Consider the following 26,486-nt stretch of genomic DNA (forward strand, 5'->3'; position numbering starts at 1 on the left):
ATGCTAGTTACTATATTTTCTTTTCATGCTTTTGCTATATTTTTGGTGTTCGACAATTCTCTTTTTAAACTGTTAAATAGCAAAAATTATTGAGCTCAAACCATCTAACCAGGTGATTCTTCCTTCATCTTCTGAGTGTTTTAGCACAGAAGAATTTCATTTTCAGAGAGTGACTCTATAGGTTCTACCAGAAAGTTAAAGCACCTCTGGGTGATGCTGGGTTCACAGAGACATAGCACTGTGAGCTCGGCAGGGGTCTTAGAGCTTGAAATCCAATGCCTTCATTTTTGACATCAGGAATTGGAGCAGTGGTGTGCTTGTAAATGTTTAACAACAGGCTCCCTAGGGAAAAAAAGCTCTGTTTTGTAGTGTCTGCTGATTCCATGGTGTAAATACTCCCACCATGACTGATTTCAGGTTATCAATATGACGTCACTGAATGCGGTGTTGGAAAGAGATTGGTAGTAGCAGACCATTGTACAGAATTTCCAGCATTCCGCTGACATGCATGTAAATAAAACCTCAAGAACACATAGATAATAATGAGATACAGTAAAACAATTAGGAAGTGAAGAATTTTTGATTATATGTCACCTTTTGAAAACATTTTATTTAGTCGTAAGTTTTTATGATTTAACGTTTTATAATGGCTGTGTTTAGCAACCATCTTGCTGAATTTCTTAAAATTTAAAGCTGGACTCTTATGAGCCAGTTTGAGCCAGTTCCAGTGCAGAACTGAACTGGAGGCTTACAAAGGCATGGGATGGAGCCAGGACTAGTACCAAGGTCTTTTCGCATCACTTGAGATAACATATCCAGGGAAAAATAGTTCACAGTGTGATTACAGGATGATGGATCCTGACCTTCAGCTGTCACCCATAAAAAGGGCCTTTAAGTGATTTTGGATGATATTCTGAAAACACTGGATCAGTGTTTGATAGGCCCAGAAGTCTAAGGATGTTTTGTTGGTTGTCACCCACAAAGATATTCAAGGACAAAGGAGAAGATTCTATTTGAGTCTTGTTCAGAATCACAGTGCACTGCAAACCAGAACGTTTAGAAAAGATCTAGTAGGGGTGGAGACAGTCCTAAGGAGGACACAGACATGATTTGGGTAGTTGATGAAACAAACAAGGAGGTTATAATAGGTCACACTCAAAAGATTAGGAGGCTACACAACAGCCTCCTTACTGTGGTCTTTCCTTCACGCCTGCCCTCTTCCCTGCACAGCAGCCAGTGTGATCTTCTGTGAAAATTAGATCCTATCCTTCTTCAGCTTAAAACTCTCAACGCTACTGACCGATGACACTGGGCTACTCACAGTCAGGAACAAGGAAGAAGTCCTGGCCAGAAGTGCTAAGGTGGCATGTCCCAAACCCATAAAGCCTGGAAGGGGCTTGTGGTGAACTCAGCTCTATTTTCTATGGGCATTTCTGGAAGGTGATGGGGGATGAGTTTTCAAAATGGAAAGAAAAAGCTAATTATACAACAGCATTTGTAGTGGGAGATAAATGGGCTTTTGAAAGGCTTAACTATATTTATTAAGTCCCGATCTCTAATGGATTATAAGCTTGTTGAGGCCGGGGACCTCCTCCTTGTTCCTGACTGTGAGTAGCTCAATGTCATCAATCAGTAGTGGTCAGTATAACCTTGGAGAGTTTTAAGCTGGAGAAGGATAGGATCTAATTTTCATAGCAGATCACTCTGGCAGATCACTCTGGCTGCTATGCAGAGAAGAGGGGCAGGGCTAGAGGGAAGGCCACGATAAGGAGGTTGTTGTGAAGCTATCAGGGAACCATGATGGTGGCTAGGACCAGGAGAGGTGGGGTTGGAGTGGACATGAGGCCCATCGCAGGGCTGCTAGAATTGCCTGTGGGCTAGGTGGGGGTGAAATGGCAGCTGAGGGAATTTCCTCCATTGTTTCTTGTTCCTTCCTTGGTTCTAGGGTCAGAAGCCAGGACCCAGACACATGGGAAACTGCTACTCAGGGGAAAATGATCAGCTCACTGTGCAGGATATGAGTGATGTAGATTACAAATTTTGTTATTTATTTATTTATTTATTTACAGTTTAGTGGAGTTTATTATATTAGAGTTGGGCATCCATCACCACTATCTAATTTTAGAAGATTTCTCTTGCCCCACTAAAAAACCCATACCCCTTAGCCATCATCCTCCAGCGCTTCCTCCATGCTCCGCCTGTGGCACTCACTAATCTACTTTCTAGCTCTATAGATTTGTCTACTCTGGACCTTTCATATAAATGGAATCATGTAATATGTTGCTATTTGTGACTGACTTTTTCACTTAGAATATATTTTCAAAGTTTATCTATGTTGTAGCATGTATCAATATTTCATTCTTTTTTATTGGCAAATAACATTCCATTGTATGTACATACAACATTTTGTTTTACATTCTATTTGTTATGTCCATAAGCATTTGGGTTGTTTCCATTATTTTTATTTTTTATTAAAAAAATTTTTTTTTGAGACAGGGTTTCTCTCCTGTTGCCCAGGTTGGAGTGCAATGGTGTGTTCTCAGCTCACTACAGCCTCTGCCTCCCAGGCTCAAGCGATCCTCCTGCCTCAGTCTCCTGAGTAGCTGGGACTACAGGCGCATGCCACCACACCTGGCTAATTTTTGTATTTTTAGTAGAGATAGGGTTTCACCACGTTAGCCAGGCTGGTCTCGAACTCCTGACCTCAAGTGATCTGCTGGTCTCGGCCTCCCAAAGTGCTAGGATTACAGGTGTGAGCCACCATGCCCGGCCCCATTTTTTTGATTATTCTAAATAATGCTATTATGAACAGTTGTGTACAGGTTTTTGTGTGGACACATATTTTCATTTCTCTTGGATATATACCTATGGTAGAATGGCTGGGTCATGCGATAACTCTGTTTAACCATTTGATGAACTACTGAACTGTTTTCCAAAGTGGCTGTACCAGTTTACTTTGCAACCACAATGTAAGTTTTTAAAAGATAGCTAGAAATAGCTTATAGCATTAAGCCAATAGAACATTGGCTAATAGGCATATGGCCAGAATCAATTGGGTAGGGAGAGGGCAGAGAGTCTGTTTTCCTCCTCCCCTGTGGTCAGTTGGTGCCGAGCAGTTCATCACAGATTTGCTCATGATGTGGACTAATCTGGCACAGAGACACCCAGGCATGTCCCTGTCCAGGGTCACATTTGCACCAGATTAAGAAATGGAGCCATGCTGCTTACATTCCATTCAAGTGCCCTTGACCACATGCCATTGTGTGATGAGTTGAGGATATTGGATATCTGAGTGTACATTTGTTATGAGGAAAACACACCACTTGGGTAAATCCTGGGCATTCCTGTATCTAATTTCACCCTTGCAAATTGTTCACCTCCTACTTTTCACCCTGCTTGCTAAGTGGTAGGAATTGTTAAATCTGACCTCTAAGCTTGGGCTTAGAAAATGAATTTAGTTTCTTGCTATCTGTGACATTGTCAATACTACAAACACTAGGCCAGGGACAAAACCTAGCTTGATCCAGGGAAAGTGCAGGAAAACAGGATCCCTCTCTTGCGACAACTACGCTGTTTGCGTTTCTTCAGTTTTTAAATTCATATTCTAGTGAATTTGCTATTCACTAGCAAATCGTTATTTTCTCAAACTGTTTTTATATATTACATCTGGGTTTGTCTTATAGGTAACAATTGCTTGTGATGCAGTTCTCAGCTCAAAATCTCCATACAGAAAGCAGGACCCAGACACGTGGGAAAATGAATTGCCAGTATCTAAATATGCCAACAACCTCACCCAGCTGGACAATGGAGTCAGGATTCCTCCAAGGTGAGAGTCAGATAGCAGAATGGAACTTTACTCCCTAAAACTGTCCAAAGGAATATTTGTTTTCTACTTCTTTTTTGAATAGGAAGTTATATTTTTTCTTACCAGATGCCTTTTATTAAAAGTAAATATAAAACTTCTCTAAAATTGTCTGTAGCTTTGTAGTAGATGCTGAATGTGCCCAGTCCATACCCCTAAGCCCTTCCCTGCCCTGAAGCTGCCAGTTGCAAGCACTTGCAACGCTTTGCATGAGAGCTTTTTCTGCTTGCTGAAGCCAGTTATGCCAGTGCACGGGACAGTCAGAAACATCAGAGTGAAGCTCCCTCCCTCCTCCTGGAGCAGCCCTAAACCGGTGACTGTGGCATGGGTGGATTAATACCCCAGTTTTCTGCCCCTGCAGGTGGGATATCTGTCTCTTGCAATTCCCCATGTGGCCTGAGCCCCAGTCGCCCACAGTGTACATTTGCTCACTGACATATCCTGTACCAGCTTCCTACCCTTTCTTGTCTTTCTTCCCCACTTCCCTGGGATCACCTCCCGGACAAGCCATTTACCTTCACTTTTTTGTCTCAGAGTCTTGTTTTAGGGCAGTCCAACTTACAAGTCTTTGGTTGTCACATTTTGGCTGGAATACTCTTTGGGCTCCATTCATATCTCCTCTTATTAGGTGCTGGTGTGTTTACAGAGGCAGGTGTTGGCGGATAGGCAGATGGATTAGGAATGTGTCTGATTTGGTTGAATCCTGACAGTTGCATGGCATTCACCTTCTGTGTGGTCTTTGGAAACGAGAGTTACTTCTGGACCTCCATTTCTCCGTTTGTAAAAATAGAGATGGTAATACTGATGCTGAAAGGTGTTTATTAGAATTAAATGAGACTTCTGTAAGGTACTTGGCATATAGTTGACGTTTAGCATTTAGTCAAGTTGGTCTCCTTTCTAATTAATTTAGATTTGCAGTGTAGTCGGATTTGTATAAACTAGCTTTACTGTATGTGATTAATGCTTTAGAACTTTAGTCATTTATACACACAGGATTCTTAATATTTTAAACTTGTTCAAGCTCCATTGTCCCTCATAGAGGAGTTTTAAGGAAATGAACTCCTCTCCTAGCCTGAAGTTTTGTGTCAGTTTTCGAAAGTAAAAAAGCCACTTGGAGATGCTGGGAGGGGCTAGTCCACATCTGGGAGGCAGGCAGGGTGCTGAGTGATCCTGCTGCTCTGGGAGAGGAACAATAATTTTTTTTTTTTTTTTGAGACAGAGTCTTGCTCTGTCACCCAGGCTGGAGTGCAGTGGCACAATCTCGGCCCACTGCAACCTCCGCCTCTCGGGTTCAAGCAGTTCTCCCTGCCTTAGCCTCCCGAGTAGCTGGGATTTGGGATTACAGGTGCCCACCACCACACCTGGCTAATCATTGTATTTTTAATAGAGACGGGGGTTTCGCCATGTTGGCCAGGCTGGTCTTGAACTCCTGACCTCAGTTGATGTGCCCGCCTCGGCCTCCCAAAGTGCTGGGGTTACAGGCGTGAACCACCACGCCCGGCCAACAATGTCTTGAGGGGAGAAAATGGGGAAGCATCAGTCTCTGTTATTCCACTGAGCCTTTGTTGTGACCTGCCTACTTGAAACCCTCTGTCTTCTTAGATGTTAAGTTTTAAAATTATGCCCTGGCTGTTCTGACTACTCTCCAATGGCTTTCCAGTGGTTGGAAGTGTGCCAGATGCGACCTGCGAGAAAACCTCTGGTTGAATCTGACTGACGGCTCTGTCCTGTGTGGAAAGTGGTTCTTTGACAGCTCTGGGGGCAACGGGCATGCGCTGGAGCATTACAGAGACATGGGCTACCCACTAGCCGTGAAACTGGGAACCATCACTCCTGACGGGGCAGGTGAGTGCGCCTTTACCGACTTTGGGAACATGCAGTGGCTTCCTCTTAGATTTAACCAATCCCTGAATCCAGGTGGTTGGAAGGTGCAGGCTCTGGATGCAGACAGCCCAGGTTTGAATTCTAATTCTGCCTCTTATTAGTTTTGAGGTCTTGGGCAAGTTTTCTAATCTCCCTAAGCTTTAGAATCCTCATCTTGAGGATAACGATGATGATACCTCTTTCCTGTGTTTGTTAGTGTGCATAAAGCATTTAGCTCAGTGCACGCTGTAAGGTCCTAATACAAGTTGCTGCTGTTGTTATTATCCTTCTGTGTATCTCTTGGCTAAGGAGGACAGAGCAGGAAACAGGATTTGTGAAGTGAGTGTGCATAATCAAGTCTACTGTTAGAACAGCAGGAGGAAGCCCTGGAATCCATTACAGGGATTAAGTATCATTTTAGGAACAAATGGATTAATTATGGAGAATATGAGTTTTAAAGGATACTGTGCATTAAAAGAGTCCCTGAAATCACCTGGCAGTGATGGTGTTCACATTCTCCGGGGGATTAGAATTGTTTCCTTCTTGCACTGTCAGCTTCAGAGTTGGTTCTGTTTCTTTTTGTCCTCACATGGTGTGCTTTGAAACATTAGCTTTTGGCCATGTTTGTACAGTTAATACCTTCTACCATTTTGCGAGGGAAAAAGGCAATAATATCAGGATCAGTAATGAGAAACTTAAATATTGAGCAGTGGCTATGAGAACCCATCATCTAATCATCATTGGAAACATTTGTTAAACACAGATCTGGACTGATACCCAGCTGGTCTTCTCCATTTTCCCAGGCTTTATTTAGTCTCTGTTTCTTCTTTGCTGTGAGGTAAGATGTTTTTAGGGGAAATATAAAAACATGTCTTCTCTCTTTTCTCTTTTTTCTCTGTTATTTTTCGATGATGGAATTAGCCTGCTTCAGAGTTAATTGCCCAAGATCTTTTCATTAAATAAGGGGACATGGCTCACCAATCATTGTTTTTTCATTGAACCGGTGTAGTTTTTCATTTGATACATAACTGAGGACTGGCAGTTAGGTCGTGTCAGGATTCTTTGGTTTCACATTTTAGAGAATTTTCCTGCTTTCAAGTTTTGTGGAATTATTTTAACTCATTAAAGACAAGTAGCTGAGAAATCCTAGCTATTGGTACCAAAGATTTTCCCCCAAAGTGAATAAAGATACACAAGCCCAGGTCTTATCCTAAATCTTCCAGGATTGAAAGGAAATTCAAGACAAGCGTTTGGATTCAGGGTTACAGCGCGGTGTTTACAGGTGATTGTTATTCAATGAGTGGGTGTTGAATGACTTTTCTCTAAGCCCTTCTCCTTGTCCTTTTAGGGGATTGTAGAAAGATTTGCAATGTAGGAATTCTGTCGGATAAAGTTGCAAGGGGACAATAATTCAGATTTTCCGACTTTCTATGCTGTCTTGTGTAGTTGCCTTTATATGACCAGTTATTGGAAATTCAGTTCTCAGAACAGCCTGTTCAACACTATAACTGTTCGTATATGCAGCTTAGTTCTTCTGACTTTTTAGGATGAAAGCAAGTCTATGTCTTACTCATCTTTGGGTTCTATACAAAATCTTACATGTCTTAGGCACAAATACTTTTGTTAATTGAACCAACTGGTATATAAGCATTTAAATACAGTCCTGTGTCACTTAAGGATGGTGATATGTTCCGAGAATGCATCATTAGGTGATTTCTTTGTTGTGTGAACATTGCAGAGTATACTTGGACAAACTTAGATGGCATAGCCTCCTTCACAACCAAGCTATATGATGTAACCTGTTGCTCCTCAGCTACAAACCTATACAGCACAGTACTGTACTGACTGCTGTAGTAACACAATGGTAAGTATTTGTGTATCTGGACATATCTAAACATAGAAAAGATACAGCAACAACATGGTATAAAAGATAGAAAATGGTCACCTGTACAGGGCACTTACCGTGAATGGAACACGCAGGGCTGGAGGTTGCTCTGGGTGAGTCAGTGAGTGAGTGGGGAGTGAGTGTGAAGGCCTCGGACTTTAGTGTTCACTACTGCAGACTATAAACACCATACACTTGGCTACACTAAACTTATGAAAACATTGTCCTTTTCAATAATAAATTAACCTCTTACTGTAATGTTTTTACTTTATGAACTTAATTTTTTTAGCTTTTGGACATTTTTGTAGTAACACTTAGCTTAAAACACAAATACATTATACAGCTGTACACTTTTTTTTGTTTTGTTTTGTTTTTTGAGACAGAGTCTCACTCTGTCACCCAGGCTGGAGTGCGGTGGCGTGATCTCAGCTCACTGCAACCTCCACCTCCCAGATTCAAGTGATTCTCCTGCCTCAGCCTCCTGAGTAGCTGGGAGGTGCCCCAACCACGCCCAGGTAATTTTTGTATTTTTAGTAGAGATGGGGTTTCACCATGTTGGTCAGGTTGGCCTTGAACTCCTGACCTCAGGTGATCCACCCACCTCGGCCTCTCAAAGTGTTGGGATTACAGGCGAGAGCCACCATGCCCAGCCAAATTTTTTTTTAAAATATCTTTATTTTATAAGCTTTTTTCCATTTTTATTTTGCTTTTTAAACGTTTTTATTAAAAACTAAGACACAAACACACACATTAGCCTAGGCCTACACAGGGTCAGGATCATCGGTATCACTGTCTTCCACCTCCACAGGTTGTCCCACTGGAAAGTCTTCTGGGACAATAACATGCATGGACCTGTCATCTCCTATGATAACAATGCCTTGTTCTGGAATGCCTTCTGAAGGACCTGCCCGAGGCTGTTGTACAGTTAACTTTTTTTCGTATATAAGTAAAATAACAATAAAAGTATAGTATAGTAAACACATAATATGGTAACATAGTCATTTATTATTATTATCAAGAATTATGTACTGTACGTAAAACCATATGTGCTATACTTATATGTGACTGGCAGCGCAATAGGTTTGTTTACACCAGCATCACTACAAGCATGGGAGTGATGTGAGTAATGCTGTAATGCTACAACATGATGGTTATATCACTAGGTGGCAGGAATTTTTCATCTCCATTATAACCTTATGGGACCACTGCCATATATGCAGTCCATTGTTGACCAAAATGTTGTTATTCAGTGAGTGATTGTAATTAGATTCTATTTAAATGTATGCTAATAATAAAGGCCAAGAATTAATTCTATTCTTTGTGTATCTTTCGTTTTCTAGAAGCTTTCTTTTCTAATGGGAAACTTATTTTAAAATTGCTAAATAGAGTAACTCTAGTTTCTTTTCTTTCAGTTTTAAGAAAGTTTTATATTTTCCTCTTGATTTTGCAACAAACAGATATTCAGTGTAACATATGTAGAAAACAGAGATAAAAGTTTAGATAAATCAATACAAAATACTAGTAATACCACCCTGTAGACTACTCACTGTTAATAATTTAGGTATTTCATTTTAGTCTTTTCTCTTTTTTTTAAAGGGTTAATCAGTTCATACACACACATGTACACACGCACACCCACCTCACATTTTTACAAAAATGTGATCATACTGTATAAAGTTTTATTCCTTATTTTTCTCTATTTAACATTATGTTTTTCTATGCTATTAAATATTCTTCAGTATTTTATGATGGTTTCATAAATCATTTCACTATTCTGTAAGTGGTTACAATTTTTTTTCTATTCTGATGAACATCCTTGTATATATGCAAATCTTTGGGTGTTTGTCTAGTTATTTCTTTAGAATAAATTGCTGTGACAAAAAGAGTTAAATCTTTAAAATTTTCAGTTACCAAGATTCTCTTTTAAACAGTTGTAATAATTTACATTCCCATCAACAGTGTATGACAGTACCCATTTCAACAAATCCTTGACAACTTTTTTTATTAAGACTTAAAAAAAAAACCTTTGCTAATCTGGTATCTTGTTTTAATTTGCATTTCTGATGAGGCTGAATATTTTTCTTAGTATTCTTGGCCATTTGTAGTTCTTTTTTGTGAATTTCTTAGGCCAATGTTTTTGTAGGTTTAGGTTTTTAAAAATTGTTTTTTAAGAACTCTTTGATTATTAAGAATATTAACCCATTGTCTTCCATAGTTGTTACTGTTTTTGTGAAGAAGAAATAACTTTTAAGGTTTTTCTTGTCATATAATTGACAGTATTTGAATGCATCTGTTTCAATCATAGAAAGTATAAAACATTTGGCAACAGCAATGCAGATCGTATACACTGTGATAAGGGTTGTGAATTCATTTAGCTAAAATAATGTTAACTTTTTGAAAAAGATCAGGCTTTGATTCCTGCGAATATTGTGCAGAGTCAGTTTTAATAAAAGTATTTTCTGTCTAATTGTAATTTCATATTAGTTTATGGGATGCATACATTCTATTTTGGTTTCCTTTAAATCTGTTTAATAGATCGCAAGCTGTAACATATTGTTTATTTAAAAGCCACATAAATTAATAAAAACATGCATAAAGTTTCCTTAAATGTCTAATGATGAGCCTTGTGGACATTGAGGCCCAGGGGTAGGGTGCCCTCTGTCTGGGGGTAGCCATCTCTCGGTGAAGTTTCCACTGCTGAGGGTCTGCTCTTCCACACTCGCTGGGCTCACTCAGTCCAGTTCAACTCACAAGAGACGAAGTCTCAAAGTCAGGGCATTTGTTTTTTAGTTCATAATGAGAGCCACAACTGCCAGTAAGTAGGATGTTTATGTCCGCTTGACCAGTACATTCCTTCCCTGTGGGAAGCTGAATTATATTTAGAAGATTGCTTAGTGAACGTGGAATCCAAGAAGGTTGTGGACTCAAATATTTAATGGTAGTGTGATCTGATCATCCTGATTTCCTTTCCCCCAATAAGGACATATTTGTCTAATGAGACACTGCTACTCATCCTTGAGGTCTCAACTTAGATTTAGTTTTTCAAAGAAGCCCTGGTCCCTCAGTCCAGGCCAGAGTGGTGGCATGCATAGCAAGAACGGGCCCCACATGAAATTCTACTCTGGGTCCCCATGGGTACAGCAACAAACAAACCAAGAAGCAGATCACTACACAAACAAACAAAAAGCTTTCCTCTGTGGGAGGACGCATTGTTTCGGCGAGGCAGGGATGAGGTTCTTGGTAGAAAGGGAGTAGGGCAGGACGGAGACGGGATAGGGTGTGTTTTTCTTCCATCACAGAAACTAGTTTACCCGAGAAGATGCTTTAGTGTCTTGGGTGATTGTAGGAGAGTCTTCCAGAGATGCCCAAGGCAGCTGTGAAATTGCCTCTTCTATTGGCTGTACCAGCTCCATAGCATCTCAAGCTGGTCTTTCTTCTTTGGTCATCTTTACCCCCGACCTGGGCATAAGCTCCCTTGAGTTTCTCCCAGCCCCAGGGTTTGGAATCAGGGCACGGACTACTTCATGTTAGTTTTGGCCTGGCCTCGGCCCCTGCTGTGTGCCTCTGTGGTACTTCCTGCTGCTCTGTCATGGTACTTTCCACAAGACCCTGTTAACAGTTTATTTAATGGTGGTCACCCAGGACGGCAGGGCCTAAGGCCACATTTCTTGGGCACTGTTATATCTCTAGCATCTAGTAGTGTGCCTCACACATAGTAGGTGCTCAGCAAATATTATGGAGCAAACAAATGGAGGAAGACACACCAACAAAATCTGCTTCTATTTGGGAGGCTGTGTTTTGAGGATTGCTTGGGCCCAGGAGTTTGAGACCAGCCTGGGCAGCATAGTGAGACCCTGTCTCAAAAATTTTAAAAAAGGCAGAGAATATTGGCTCCTCTGATTTACCTTTTTTCTACTTTACTGACATCTTTTTTACTCTTACCTGTTTTCCTTTCCTGACTACAGTCTAGGTTTTGTCTGTCCTGGCGGTTCTCTTTCTTTTCCTTTTTCTTTTTTTTTTTTTTGTTTGAGGCAGGGTCTCACTCTGTTGCCCAGGCTGGAGAGCAGTGGTGGAATCATGGCTTACTGCAGCCTCAACTTCCTGGGCTCAAGTGAGCCTCCCAGCTCAGCCTCCCAAGTACTGGGAGCACAGGTGCTTGCCACCACACTCCATACTCGGCTAATTTTTTTCCATTTTTTTTTGTAGAAATGGAGTCTTACTATGTTGCCCAGGCTGGCCTTGAACTCCTGGGCTCAAGTGATCCTCCTGCCTTAGCCTCCCAAAGTGCTGGGATTATAGATGTGGGCCACTATGCCTGGTCCTGTTCTCTCTCTCTATTTTTTTAAATTGAGACAGAATCTCACTATGTTGCCCAGGCTGGTCTTGAACTCCTGGGCTCAAGCTATCCTCCTGCCTCAGCCTCTAAAAGTCCTAGGATTATAACCTATTCTCTCTTTAAAGAGATCCTACATGCTGGCCTCATTTAATTTGTGTTTATTTTTCTTTCTTTTTTTTTTTTTTTGAGATGGAGTCTCACTTTCTGGCCCAGGCTGGAGTGCAATGGTGTGATCTCAGCTCACTGCAACCTCCGCCTCCTGGGTTCAAGCAATTCTCCTGCCTCAGCCTCCCAAGTAGCTGGGATTACAGGCACGCACAACCACGCCCAGCTAATTTTTGTATTTTTAGTAGAGACGGGGTTTCACCATGTTGGCCAGGCTGGTCTCGAACTCCTGACCTTGTGATCCGCCTGTCTTTGCCTCCCAAAGTGCTGAGATTACATGCGTGAGCCACTGTGCCCGGCCTTGTGTTTATTTTTTTAGTGTAGCTGCTGGAGTTGTCTTGTTTTTCTTCTTTTCCTGTCTGTTGCAGATGGCTTAGAGGCACACAGATGTGAACTCCCGGTGGAGAGATGCAGTTTGGGTGGACAGATCTGCACTGACTCTGAGGAGAATCTCTCTTCATTTTCTCCTCTCCGATTTATTACTTGGTGTTTGACCAGGAGCTTTGCTTTTTCTCTCCATTTGTGAGAGAAGGGCACCAAAGCTGGCTTTCCTAGTTTTTGTTCTGTTTTGTTTTGTTTTGAGACGCAGTTTCACTTTTGTTGCCCAGGCTGCAGTGCAGTGGTGTAATCTTGGCTCACAGCAACCTCCGCCTCCCAGGTTCAAGTGTTTCTCCTGCCTCAGCCTCCCGAGTAGCTGGGATTACAGGCATGTGCCACCACGCCAAGCTAATTCTGTATTTTTAGTAGAGACGGGGTTTCTTCATGTTGGTCAGGCTGGTCTTGAACTCCCGACCTCAGGTGATCCACCTGCCTTGGCCTCCCAAAGTGCTGGGATTACAGGTGTGAGCCACCGTGCCCGGCCTTCCATAGTTTTAACACAAGGACTTGCTGAGGTACATCCTTACCTCTCTCTCCCTTCTACTTTCCTGTAGGGGAATCTGGAGGGAGAATTTGGACTTCTGCCATTTTCTGGGGCCTAGGATAAGGGCATAAAGTCACATGACTAAACCATGAGACCCTTCACACCAAACCAGCATTTCTTCTAAGACTATTTGAAATATTAAACTTTAAACTTATGAGGGCAGGGACTCTGCATATCTTATTTAACATTATATCCTCAGGGTATACATGTATTTGGTATTTAGTTAATATTTGCTGAATACGATGAATGAGTGAGTTAACCTTGGTGGTTGAACAAGGATGACCCGCGCCAGGCATGCTAGACTTAACAGCATAGTCCTAATAGCATACCGTCCAATAGCATCGTTTTAATCTCTGGGAATTACTTAGAAAACATTTTTTCCATCAAAATATAATAAATTTAGAAAAAACAGAGGAGAAAAAAAGACATCTTCTCATTCAGAGATTACAAATTATTATTACCATTTTGATCTGGGTTCTTACAGATTCTCAATCTTGCTTCTGGTTCATCTCTATCTCTGTCTCTGCTCTCTAAGCTTTTCCTTAATTAATATTTGAGCTTACTGCACATACTGTTTCCTAGCATGCTTGTCACAAAAGGATATTCTTGTTCTAAAATTTTTTTTTAATCTTTTTTCTTCCGCAGATTGCTGCCTCATGCTCTTGTGGTTTAGTTTGTCATTTAACTTGAAATGAAAGGATGACTGGTTTGCTTCTAAAATGAATGCAGTTACTCATGAAACACTGCTTGGGCTATTCCTGGGAGGATACCTCTGTGAACTCCCTAACTGTGGTTCTTGGCTTCAAGTTTTAGGCCAAGCTGGGGAGCGTGATGGATAATACTTGTCAAAAGTTGCCTATTTACTACCATAGTTTCTGCACTAAGACCTGACTTTGCTAAGCTGAGGTTGGGAATAAAATGAGTTTCCCAGTGAAAAACATACAAGACAGCATTTTCAGCCACTGAGGCCACTGAAAACTTTTTTTCTCTGACTACATATTTATAAATTCTTCCTGATTGCCAAGTTTGAAGATCACAGTTCATTTTCAGGTTTCTTGTATGTTACTCACTAAACACTTTTTGTCTTGGGGATGAGAAATAACTATAGCATTTGACCAAATCATGTCATATTTTTGGAGCAGTTAATGGCTGGAGGTATGAAATATGATTTTCTCAATGTGGCAAGAGCCTAATGGGTTACGAACTGTGGAGGGCTGTGTGGTTTTCACTTATTTCAAAATCCTAGGCCAATGCCAGTGGTTCAATTCTGGCAGTTTTATTATTTTCTAATACAGCCCTGATCATTAGAGGCTTAAAGTCTTAAGTCTTCAAACTATCTCCCTAATTAATAACAACTAAAGTGCCTAGGGAGTGCCATTTTCACCTTGAGCTAGTATTTAAGTGGAATTTTTTGATCCCTTGTCATAGATTAAAAATACTGTTGATGTATTTGTTTCAATTTATTAGTTCAAAGGTTTTTGCTTATTTTATTAATATTTAAACTTTTGGAAATGTTTCTTAATTGGGCTGAGATTTTGTCTTTTGTTTCGCTTTTGAGAATGCTGAATTATATTTAAAAAATATAAATGAGGGTTGCTATCCACAGTTATCATGGGCCTCTGGGGGAAGAGGAATAGAAAAGACAACTACACAATGTTTAACTTATTAATAATAGACTGAATTTCTTTGGGGAGCAGCGAGTCTCCATATATCTGGGTATGGGACAGAAGGTCACATAGCTTCTATGCATTACTTTTTTTCCTCCTGGTGATGTTCCAAGGAGTAGGGAGCTCCTTGGACAGTCTGTCTTATACTGTCCCTAAGAGTGATATCTTCATATTCATTTTCCTTGTTACAGATTTTGTTTTTCAAATATAAGAGCAAAGAAATTGTGGGTTTTGAGTCTTCATTCCTTTTAAGGGCTTAGGTTGGTTCTTCACCAAGTCTGTTGGTATCCTGTTCTGATACATACATTTTTTTCTTTTTTTTCCTTCTTTAGAAACTTTTTTTTTTTTCCTGTTTTTTGGAGACAGGGTCCTGCTCTGTCACCCAGGCTAGAGTACAGTGACATTATCATAGCTTACTGTAGCCTCAAACTCCTGGCCTCAAGTGATCCTCCTGCCTTGGTCTCCCGGAGTGCTGGGATTACAGATGTGAGCCATGTACCTCGCTGGTGTCCTGATATACCTTCATAAATATTCTGTTGTAGAGGGAAGAAGATTGGGCCAGGAGTTAGACTACCTGGGTTCTGGGCCACCTGTGGCCTTTATGAGCTTCTTTTCCTTATCTGCAAGATGGGCTTGAAAATGTCTCTTCTGTCCTCTTCACCACACTGTGTGTGAGGATGGATAGGGCAGCGGATTGGATAGCTTTGGAAAACCAAACAGTCCTCCAACTTCACTGTGCACCTGAAGATCTCGTTAAAAATGCAGATTCTCATTCAGTCGGCCTGAGGCGGGGCTCAAGATTCTGCATTTCTTTTCTTTTCTTTTTTTTTTGAGATAGAGTCTCTCTCTGTCGCCCAGGCCAGTGGCACGATCTTGGGTCACTGCAAGCTTCGCCTCCTGGGTTCACGCCATTCTCCTGCCTCAGCCTCCCGAGTAGCTGGGACTACAGGCGCCCGCCACCACGCCCGGCTAATTTTTTGCATTTTTAATAGAGACGGGTTTCACCATGTTAGCCAGGATCATCTGGATCTCCTGGTCTCGTGATCCGCCTGCCTCGGCCTCCCAAAGAAGATTCTGCATTTCTAATGAGCTCCCAGGTGAAGCTACTGCTTTGAGTCCATACACCCCACTTTGAGAAGCCAGGTTCAGTCAAAAGCCTCATGTTGTCAGGTGGGATATTATTATCCGGAGGAAAGAGGCAGCCCACCTCAGCACAGAGCTTACCAACACTAGCGTCTCTCAAATGGCTGGGATGTGGATCCCAGAGGCCCTGGGGCAGTGGGGCAGGGCAGGGCTGGCTGGAGTCTTGAGTATCCCTGGAATACCAAACATATGGTCATTTTCTGTGTGTACTATGAGGTGGGCCATTAGGGAAGCGCCACACAGTCTTCACAGATCTCTCGCTGGTTCTGTGAGATGTGGACCTGAAGGTAGGAAAGAAGGGATGTCGGGGGCAAGTGGGAGGTAGAGGCGGTGAGTGGTAGGTTTGAGAATACAGAGGGTTTCATGGGCAGAAATTCATTTTCTCAGATGGAACAAGCTGCCCTGAGGGCCTGTGTGTTCTCTCTGTTCCCCCGGAGGTCCCCCCTGCCGTGGCGGATGGCCGTCATCCCCTCCTCCTGTGCCCATCCCTCTTCCTGAGCTCAGAGTTATGCCACTGTGGTTTTAGTTAGAAAAATCAAGTGTTAGGCATTTATACTTGTATACTTATTAGATACTGTTCTTTTTTGTTGCTTTTCTTGTTTTAGAAAACTTAAAAAAAACTTTCCAAAATGTGAAAAGAATGACATATAGGTATATTTACAAAAAATGCCTACATATTATTTATCATTTATCATTCGTCTTTCCTCTTGTTGAATGTTAGAAAGTTTTCGTTTTGTTCAGTGATATAGCCCAAGCCTGGTGTACAGTAGGAGTTCAAAAAATATGTGTTGGATATTCAGTGACTTGATTACTGATTGCAGTGCTTATTTTCTCTTCATCCGCTAGATGTTTATTCTTTTCAAGAAGAAGAACCTGTTTTGGATCCTCATTTGGCCAAGCACTTAGCGCATTTTGGAATTGATATGCTTCATATGCATGGGGTGAGGTCTCCTTTTGTTTCTGTTTCCATCTTGCATGGGGTAGGGGTGGGGAGACGGCAAGGGAACTGCTTGATTTATTTAATATATAATTCCTCTAACGTGGATCTTCATTTTATAGGTTTTAGCTTTTAATTGTTGCATTTACTTCTTGCATTTAATTAGTAGATGTTTTCTTTTGGTTGCCAGCTTAGATTTTTTATGCTGTAATAAAAATGGCACCTCATCAAGTACTCTTTTGGTTTAGTTGGAGTTTACTTGCAAAATTAGTCTCCTTTGATGGGCAGTCGTGTGAATCATTCTTTGTTCGCGAAACGCAGATGGTGTAGGGAGATGACCTTTAAAATTATCTGTGACCAACATCACTTTCATTAATTTCAGGGAGGGAAGCAAAGCTCCTAGGGGATAGAACGAATAAACCAACACATTACTGTTGATAGAGAAGCTCTGCTTCATTTAATACTGTGTTTTCAAATTGATGTCATGACTATATAATATTTTTCCTTTAAGGAACTATTTCAATGTGCGTTTCGTTTTAGCCCTTTCCTTCCAGGTCGCCTCCCTCTCTTCATGTTCCTATTCTCTTTGTCTCCTCTTTGTCACTCATTTTTACTTTTTTGTTTAGTTTTTTCTGCTCTTCTTTACACCTCCCTCCTTTTTGTTTGCTGTGTTGCATTGAATATTCCCTTGAATTTAGTCTCCTTGCTTCTTTTTTGATTCCTATTTGTTCTTCATCCTCCTCCTATCTCTTTCCCTTTCAATCTTTCTCTCTTTAAAATCTTTTTTTTTTTTTTGAGATGGAGTTTCGCTCTTGTTGCCCAGGCTGGAGTGCAGTGGCGCGATCTCAGCTCACTGAAACCTCCGCCTCCTGGGTTCAAGCAGTTCTCCTGCTTCAGCCTCCCGAGTAGCTGGGACTAAAGGCATGTGCCACCACACCCAGCTAATTTTTGTATTTTTAGTAGAGACGGGGTTTTGCTATGTTGCTCAGGTGGGTCTCGAACTCCTGACTTCAGGTGATCTGCCCACCTCAGCCTCCCAAAGTGTTGGGATTACAGGTGTGAACCGCTGCGCCCGGCCTCTCTTTAAAATCTTTTTCATGTGTGTTTTAAAAATTGTGGTACAATATATATAATATAAAAGCTACCATTTTAACTGTTTTTAAGCGTGCAGTTCTCTGGCATTATGTACATTCACTTTGTTGTGCCACCATCACCGTCTCTCAGTCTTTTTTATTTGCATTGTTTATTTCTCTATGTAATTGGGGAAAAAAATGGCAGAAACATCCTATGCTGTTAGAAATAATTAACGGGACATGACCTTTGAATGGGAATCACATTTAAAGTTGTTTTTCTTCGATGACTTTGTCTCAGACAGAGAATGGGCTCCAGGACAATGACATCAAGCTGAGGGTCAGTGAGTGGGAAGTGATCCAGGAGTCGGGCACGAAACTGAAGCCAATGTATGGTCCTGGCTACACGGGTCTGAAGAACCTGGGCAACAGCTGCTATCTCAGCTCTGTCATGCAGGCCATCTTCAGCATCCCAGAATTCCAGAGAGCGTAAGTGCCTTCCATGCAGACCAGGGCACGCGGCACCTCCCTGCCCCATCTAGGTCCAGTCCACTCAGTGTGCGCTGCGAAGCCCATCTTTATTGCTTCAGGACATTTTGCCACCTTTTCTCTGGCCTGCCTTCTACAGAGACTGGGTGAGAACACTTGTCAAGTATTATGGGGATCAGGTGAGATAAGAAGAGCTTTGTGGCCGGGCGCAGTGTCTAACGCCTGTAATCTCAGCACTTTGGGAGGCCGAGGCGGGCAGATCACGAGGTCAGGAGTTCAAGACCAGCCTGACCAACATGACGAAACCCGTCTCTACTAAAAATACAAAAATTAGCCAGGGGTGGTGGTGCACGCCTGTAATTCCAGCTACTCAGGAGGCTGAGGCAGGATCACTTGAACTCAGGAGGCAGAGGTTGCAGTGAGCCAAGATCATGCCACTGCACTCCAGCCTGGGTAACAGAGCGAGAATCTGTCTCAAAAAAAAAAAAAAAAAGAGCTTCGTAAACTCAAAAACACCATACAAGGGTTTGTTATTAGTAATGGTTTCTGCTTTTTGACCATCACCCTATGTACCAAGAATATATTAATCATTAATCTTCACAGCACATCTGCCAATTCCCTCCTATAGATGCGCTAGGAGAGATCCGGTGGTAGGTCTGGTTAGTGTCTCTCTTGTGGGGGACTGGAATTTCCTGAAGGATTTAGGGCTTTCATTTTTTGCTACTTACAGTGTGGTTCATAGACTAGTGCAGCTCCTTATACTGCTGGATGTGGGCCTTCAATGAGATAAGTTTGGAAATCGAGAGTGAGCATTGGGAAATTGTAACAATTTGATGTTGCTGTTGTGTTTTACAAGTGGCATTTCATTTTTCTAATAATTTCTTGGAATTGTATTTTTTAACTTATTTTTAATTATTATGGGTACATAACAGGTGTATATATTTATGGGGTATATGTGATATTCTGATACAGGTACGCAATGTGTAATAATCACATTGGGGTAATTGGGGTATTCATCACCTCAAGCATTTGTCATTTCTTTGTATTAGGAATATTCCAATTTCACTCTTTTAGTTATTTTAAAATATACGACAAGTTATTGTTGACTGTAGTCACCCTGTTGTGCTATCAAATACTAGATCTTGTTCATTCTACTTATACTTTTTTACCCATTAACCATCCTAATTGTATTTTTAAAAAGCATCATCTGTCTGAGTTGAAATAAACAAAAAAACTGACCCTTTACCGCAGATAATTTGAGAGGCACTGATTTAGGTGCTCCCTGACTGTGCTTGTACAAGACTGCCTTCCTCCTCCTACACCGAGGGGGACAGCAGCTATGTCTGTGGCTGTTTTCTTCCTTGGGTGTACTGAGGACAGGGAGCTATAGAGCCCAGGGGCTGTGGCTGGTACACTCTCAGGCAGCCACTGCCTACGTGTAGAGAATCATCCTAATGTGTTCCAGAGGTAGGTTTCCACCTTAGTTTAAGTGCGGAAGAGGACATATATGTGCTGAGGCAGGCAGGTGACATGCCAGGAATAGTCCAGGTCATGTTTTACCCATGTGGAGTTGAAATCCTAATGGCTTTAACGGCGGTTCATCAAAAGTATGTCACATACCCTTCTCTTTCCTCCCTTGGTGTTTGGAGACATACCTCTTCTTGCTGTTTTCTGGCTTTGAAAATTTATGGTGCATTTTCTATGTCTATTTTTCATTTTTTCATCCAGCCAATAGAGAGTGAGTTCTTTTCTGCTAAGCAGTGTGCTGAGTGTGTGGGGGTCAGTGGTGAACACAAGGACATGGTCCTCACCCCCAGGCATGAAGTAAGCAGGAGATACAGGCATTAAGAAAATAATCATAGTAACAACTGCATGCTTATAAACATGGTACATTCCATGATGGAGAAAGGAGGGAGGTGGTCAGAGAGGAGCCTATGAAGAAGGGACACACATCCTGATGCATGTGCAGGAGGAGTGAAGACAGGCTTTATGTTTTTGAGAATTTAGTATTTGAATCTCTCCCTAGTCTTGTTTCAAGAGTCTTAGAATTTTATATTACTAATATTTTACATTCTCATTCTATTTTCTAAACATTTACTAGATATATGAGAACATGAGCAATGAACTATTCATACATGTCTTCAGTCTTTTCACCCTTTGACCAAATATCACTGGATTGAAATACTTGTTCTTCTCACTTCTTTTTCACCAGCAGGTCTAACTCAGTGGAGTTAGATTCAGGAGCAGTGTCTTCATTTTGAAAGTAGAAAAAGTGACTCAGGGCCTGGCATGGTGGCTCATACCTGTAAACCCAGTACTTTGGGAGGCTGAGGCAGGAGGATTACTTGAAACCAGGAGTTTGAGGCCAGCCTAAGCAGCAAAGTTAGATCCCATCCCTACAAAAATTTAAAAAAAAAAAAAATAGCCGGGCGTGGTGGTGCACACCTGTAGTCCCAGCTACTCGGGAGGCTGAGGTGGGAGGATTGCTTGATCCCAGGAGTCTGAGGTTGCAGTAAGCTGTGGTTGTGCCACCGTACTCAGGCTGGGCAACAGAGTGAGATCCTGTCTTTAAAAAAATAATAAGAAGGCCGGGTGCAGTGGCTCACGCCTGTAATCCTAGCACTTTGGGAGGCCGAGGTGGACAGATCACCTGAGATCAGGGGTTTGAGACCAGCCTGGCCAACATGGTGAAACCCCGTCTGTACTAAAAATACACAAATTAGCCGGGCATGGTGGTGTGTGCCTATAATCCCAGCTACTCAGGAGGCTGAGGCAGGAGAATTGCTTGAGCCCAGGAGGCAGAGGTTGCAGTGAGCCGAGATTGCTCTACTGCACTCCAGCCTGGGCAACCAAGTGAGACTCTGTCTCAAGAAAAAAAAAAAAAAAAGAAAGAAATAATAATAAGAAAATTAAAGAAAGGAAAGAAAAAAAGAAAAATGACTCAGAAAGATTAACTGGCTTATGAACAGCCGTAGCATAATTAGGGAACTTGGCCTGATTCCTTGGTACCCTGTCTGCCATTTGAACCTAGTTTACATTTCAAAATAATTTTTATTGAGGATTAAATCTAAATAAACTGGTATACAAATGGAATGACAACCAAGGTAGATTGCTAGATAGCAAAACTACATCTTTTTAAGAATTGCTAGATTACAAACAGGAGGTATAACATCTATGAAAATTATCTAGCGTTTCTTCTGCATTTTAATTTAATTTTGTTACAATGGAAGATTTCCTTCATCAGTTAGAAAAGGGATATACATTGATAGCAAAATGGACTTCTCTCTTTTTCTCCCTGACCTCAGGTACCAGCAAAGTGAACTTTTCTGACATGAAAGATTTATTTTTGGCTGGGCATGGTGGCTCATGCCTGTAATCCCAGCACTTTGGGAGTCTGAGGTGGGCAGATCACTTGAGGTCAGGAGTTTGAGACCAGCCTGGCCAACATGGCAAAACCCCACTCTACTAAAAAATTAGCCAGGCGTGGTGGTGCGTGCCTGTGACACCAGATACTCGGGAGGCTGAGGCAGGAGAATTGCTTGAAGTTGGGAGGCAGAGGTTGCAGTGAGCCCAGATTGTGCCACTGTACTCCATCCTGGGCGAGGGAGTGAGACGCTGTCTTGAAAAAATAAAATTTATTCTCTTTACTCTTCTATCTATCTTGCCTTAAAGCATAAGCCTATTCATTAGTGTTCATCTTTCCAGTGAGTTTTTTTTTGTCTTGTCAAGTTTTGAGATGTGATTAAAACTGGATCATAAGAGAGCTCCTGAGTTCATCATGTTATATATTGTTAGGAATTCTTCAGTATAGTCCCTGCATCTAAATAGTTTAACTCTGAAGTTTGGTTTATGTCTTGTTTGTCCTTTGAATGGGACTGGCCCAAAGAAGCATGCTCTGTTAATTTTCCTCTAGGTACATAATCTGAGCTACAACTTCTGAGTCTGTGGACAGCAGGTGCCTAGAAGTTTCTAGTAGTTAGGGAATCCAATTAGAAGTCATTGCCAAGTAATAGTGTATCATGGTTCTCTGCTAGGGTTTCATTGCAAAAATGCTTTTTCTGTTTGGTTATTGGTACTCAGTTATGGAAGTTAATCGTGTGATTGTGTGACATAAATGTATTCATTGAACAAATATTTATTGAGTGTCTTTTACATGTCAGATGCTGTTCTTGTGCTGGAGATGCAGTGATTTAGATAAAGTTGCTGCCTTCATGAGATGACATTCTAGTATGTAATCTCTGGAAAGACAGATACTAAACAAGATGTATTAGTCTGTTCTCATGCTGCTAATAAAGACTGATTCACTCTCACGAGAACAGGATGGAAAGACCTCCTCCATGATTCAGTTACCTCCCACAGGGTCCCTCCCACCACACATGGGAATTATGGGAGCTACAATTCAAGATGAGATTTGGGTGGGGACACAGCCAAACCATATCACAAGTAAATTATAAAACTGCAAATAGTGATGCATGCTAAGAAGAAAGTCAGTCAGAAGCAGATGGTAGGGAGTGAGGAAGGGTGGGGGCGGCCCCTCTTGTTTTATCTGAGGGTCTCGGGAGGCGACTTGTCAACAGGCTTGAGAAGGAGCTGCCAAGCAAGGATCTGTGAGGCAGCATCCCAGGAAAAAGACAGCAGAAGGCATGACCTTGAGACATGAGCAAGTCTGTCATGCCCTGGGGCAGCAAGAGGGACAAGTGGGGATGTTGTGGGCTGGGGGAACACAGTGGCAGATGAGGTCAGAGAAGTGGGCAGAGTGGGCACATGAAGGGCTGGAGAAAGGGATCTGCTTTTGGATTCTTCTTCCTAGAGCTTTCAGGCGAGAGTCAAAGACAACAGGGAAAGAACAACACAAAGTAGAGGGTGTGAAATAGGAAGTGAATTTAAGAAGTGAAAGGAGTGATTGTGCATTATGATTGGAGATCAGTGTTAAAGCTGGCTTTGCTCTGTTAGGATAAGCTTGCCAGGAGGGATTATAGAGTGCTCCAGGGGCAGTGGATGGGCAGACACAGCCAGCAGAGTGGTTCCGAACTTGGCCTGGTGCCTGGCTGCATGGGTCCATTCTGGGCCTCATTACTCCCTCCCTGGTAGGCTTTTTTTTTTTTTGAGATAGGGTCTTGCTGTGTCATCCAGGCTGAAGTGCAGTGGTACAATCACGGCTCACTGCAGCCTTGACCTCCTGGGCTCAGGCAATCCTCCCACCTTAGCCTCTCGAGTAGCTGCAATTATAGGTATGTACCACTGCACCCAGCTAATTTTTAATTTTTTTTTGTAGAGATAGGGTCTTATTTTGTTGTCCAGGCTGGTCTCAACTCTTGGGTTCAAGCAATCTTCGCCCCTCGGCTTCCAAAAGTACTGGGATTACAGGTGGCTTGGAGACTTTTGAAGCTACCTAATGAATTTGCATCCCAATTTCTCACCTCTCAAATGAGGATAATGATAACAACAATCTCTTCCTCATACGGTTGCAATGAAAACTCAACAGGCTAATATAGGAAGCCCTCCAGAAAACGGTAGCTGTCACTGCTGTTACCATTATTATTCATTTTGAGATTATTGGAACAATTTTTAATGTTTTTTTTTTTTTTTTTTTTTAATTGATCATTCTTGGGTGTTTCTCGCAGAGGGGGATTTGGCAGGGTCACAGGACAATAGTGGAGGGAAGGTCAGCAGATAAACAAGTGAACAAAAGTCTCTGGTTTTCCTAGGCAGAGGACCCTGCGGCCTTCTGCAGTGTTTGTGTCCCTGGGTACTTGAGATTAGGGAGTGGTGATGACTCTTAAGGAGCATGCTGCCTTCAAGCATCTGTTTAACAAAGCACATCTTGCACCGCCCTTAATCCATTTAACCCTGAGTGGACACAGCACATGTTTCAGATAGCACAGGGTTGGGGGTAAGGTCACAGATCAACAGGTTCCCAAGGCAGAAGAATTTTTCTTAGTACAGAACAAAATGAAAAGTCTCCCACGTCTACCTCTTTCTACACAGACACGGCAACCATCCGATTTCTCAATCTTTTCCCCACCCTTCCCCCCTTTCTATTCCACAAAACCGCCATTGTCATCATGGCCCGTTCTCAATGAGCTGTTGGGTACACCTCCCAGACGGGGTGGTGCCAGGCAGAGGGGCTCCTCACTTCCCAGTAGGGGCGGCCGGGCAGAGGCGCCCCTCACCTCCCGGACGGGGCGGCTGGCTGGGCAGGGGGCTGACCCCCCCCCCACCTCCCTCCCGGACGGGGCGGCTGGCCGGGCAGAGGGGCTCCTCACTTCCCAGTAGGGGCGGCCGGGCAGAGGCGCCCCTCACCTCCCGGACGGGGCGGCTGGCCAGGTGGGGGGCTGACCCCCCCACCTCCCTCTCGGACGAGGCGGCTGGCTGGGCGGGGGGCTGACCCCCCCACCTCCCTCCCAGACGGGGCGGCTGGCCAGGTGGGGGGCTGATCCCCACCACCTCCCTCCCGGACGGGGCGGCTGGCCGGGCGGGGGGCTGACCCCCCCACCTCCCTCCCGGACGGGGCAGCTGGCCGGGCAGAGGGGCTCCTCACTTCCCAGTAGGGGCGGCCGGGCAGAGGCGCCCCTCACCTCCCGGACGGGGCGGCTGGCCTGGCGGGGGGCTGACCCCCCCACCTCCCTGCCAGACGAGGTGGCTGCCGGGCAGAGACGCTCCTCACTTCCCAGACGGGGCAGTTGCCGGGCGGAGGGTCTCCTCACTTCTCAGACGGGGCGGCCGGGCAGAGACGCTCCTCACATCCCGGACGGGGCGGCAGGGCAGAGGTGCTCCCCACATCTCAGACGATGGGCGGCCGGGCAGAGACGCTCCTCACTTCCCAGATGTGATGGCGGCCGGGAAGAGGCGCTCCTCACTTCCTAGATGGGATGGCGGCCGGGCAGAGACGCTCCTCACTTTCCAGACTGGGCAGCCAGGCAGAGGGGCTCCTCACATCCCAGACGATGGGCGGCCAGGCAGAGACACTCCTCACTTCCCAGACGGGGTGGCGGCCGGGCAGAGGCTGCAATCTCAGCACTTTGGGAGGCCAAGGCAGGCTGCTGAGAGGTGGATGTTGTAGCGAGCCGAGATCACGCCACTGCACTCCAGCCTGGGCACCATTGAGCACTGAGTGAAGGAGACTCCGTCTGCAATCCCGGCACCTCGGGAGGCCGAGGCTGGCGGATCACTCGCGGTTAGGGGCTGGAGACCGGCCGGGCCAACACAGCGAAACCCCGTCTCCACCAAAAAAATACGAGAACCAGTCAGGCGTGGCGGCGCGCGCCTACAATCGCAGGCAGTCGGCAGGCTGAGGCAGGAGAATCAGGCAGCAGTACCGTCCAGCTTCAGCTCGGCATCAGAGGGAGACCGTGGAGAGAGGGAGAGGGAGACCGTGGGGAGACGGAGAGGAAGAGGGAGAGGGAGAGGGAGAGCCAATTTTTAATGTTAAAGAGAAAAATTACCCAAACACTTGTTAAAGATGATAAGGCAGACTTTATTCAAGGGGGTCCATGGCCATAGGTATAGGAGCACTGCAACAGGGCCTGGCAATGGGGGAGACATTGGACTCAACTCTGATTCCAACAAGGTCAAGTGGGGATTTATAAACAAGGAGTTGGGTGGGGCCAGGGGATGGAAAATCACAAAGAAGAAACGTCAAGGATTAGCTGTTTCTGGCTACCCAGACTTAATGGGATTACTGCTGAAGGCAGGCCAGGCTGGTCAGACAGCAAGGATGGGTGATTTTCACTAAACTGACTTAGCAGGATGCTTACTTAAACTGGATCTACAAGGACAGAGAGGGAAGCCCAAGGACGGGCCCAGTCAAGCAGAGGCTTCAGAGGAGCCTGATGATGTTTTGGTTAAGTCGAGTCTTGTCCCTAACTGTACTGTTGTCTTTATTTATTTATTTTTTTTTGAGACAGAGTCTTGCTCTGTCATCCAGGCTGGAGTCTGGTGGCATGATCTTGGCTCACTGCAACCTCCACCTCCAGGGTTCAAGTAATTCTCCTGCCTCAGCCTCCCAAGTAGCTGGGATTCCAGGCACGTGCCACTGCACCTGGCTATTTTTTGCATTTTTAGTAGAGATGGGGTTTTGCTGTGTTAGCTAGGCTGGTCTTGAACTCCTGACCTCCGATGATCCACCCGCCTCAGCCTTCCAAAGT

At 43.5% G+C, this 26,486-nt stretch overlaps 1 protein-coding gene across 6 annotated transcripts in view, besides 2 other annotated features; it reads left to right on the top strand.

Moving 5' to 3' along the window:
- USP13 (ubiquitin specific peptidase 13) overlaps positions 1-26,486 on the top strand; it is a 136,362-nt gene that overhangs the window by 50,211 nt on the left and 59,665 nt on the right. For all 6 annotated transcript variants that reach the window (NM_003940.3, XM_011513269.2, XM_017007426.2 and 3 more), the window contains 4 exons: positions 3,684-3,826; positions 5,523-5,707; positions 16,690-16,784; positions 18,152-18,339. In NM_003940.3, the coding sequence (NP_003931.2) occupies positions 3,684-3,826; positions 5,523-5,707; positions 16,690-16,784; positions 18,152-18,339 (611 nt within the window). The remainder of the gene's footprint in view (positions 1-3,683; positions 3,827-5,522; positions 5,708-16,689; positions 16,785-18,151; positions 18,340-26,486) is intronic.
- Positions 25,009-25,588: an enhancer, noted in NCBI's record as "H3K27ac-H3K4me1 hESC enhancer chr3:179446047-179446626 (GRCh37/hg19 assembly coordinates)". NCBI's record gives its function as "activates a minimal SCP1, AML or CMV promoter by ChIP-STARR-seq in primed H9 embryonic stem cells {active_cell/tissue: H9 hESC(primed)}" and the evidence as "EXISTENCE:reporter gene assay evidence [ECO:0000049][PMID:30033119]".
- Positions 25,589-26,167: an enhancer, noted in NCBI's record as "H3K27ac-H3K4me1 hESC enhancer chr3:179446627-179447205 (GRCh37/hg19 assembly coordinates)". NCBI's record gives its function as "activates a minimal SCP1, AML or CMV promoter by ChIP-STARR-seq in primed H9 embryonic stem cells {active_cell/tissue: H9 hESC(primed)}" and the evidence as "EXISTENCE:reporter gene assay evidence [ECO:0000049][PMID:30033119]".

This window comes from Homo sapiens, chromosome 3 (genome assembly GCF_000001405.40).
Source record: "Homo sapiens chromosome 3, GRCh38.p14 Primary Assembly".
Lineage (NCBI taxonomy): Eukaryota > Metazoa > Chordata > Mammalia > Primates > Hominidae > Homo > Homo sapiens.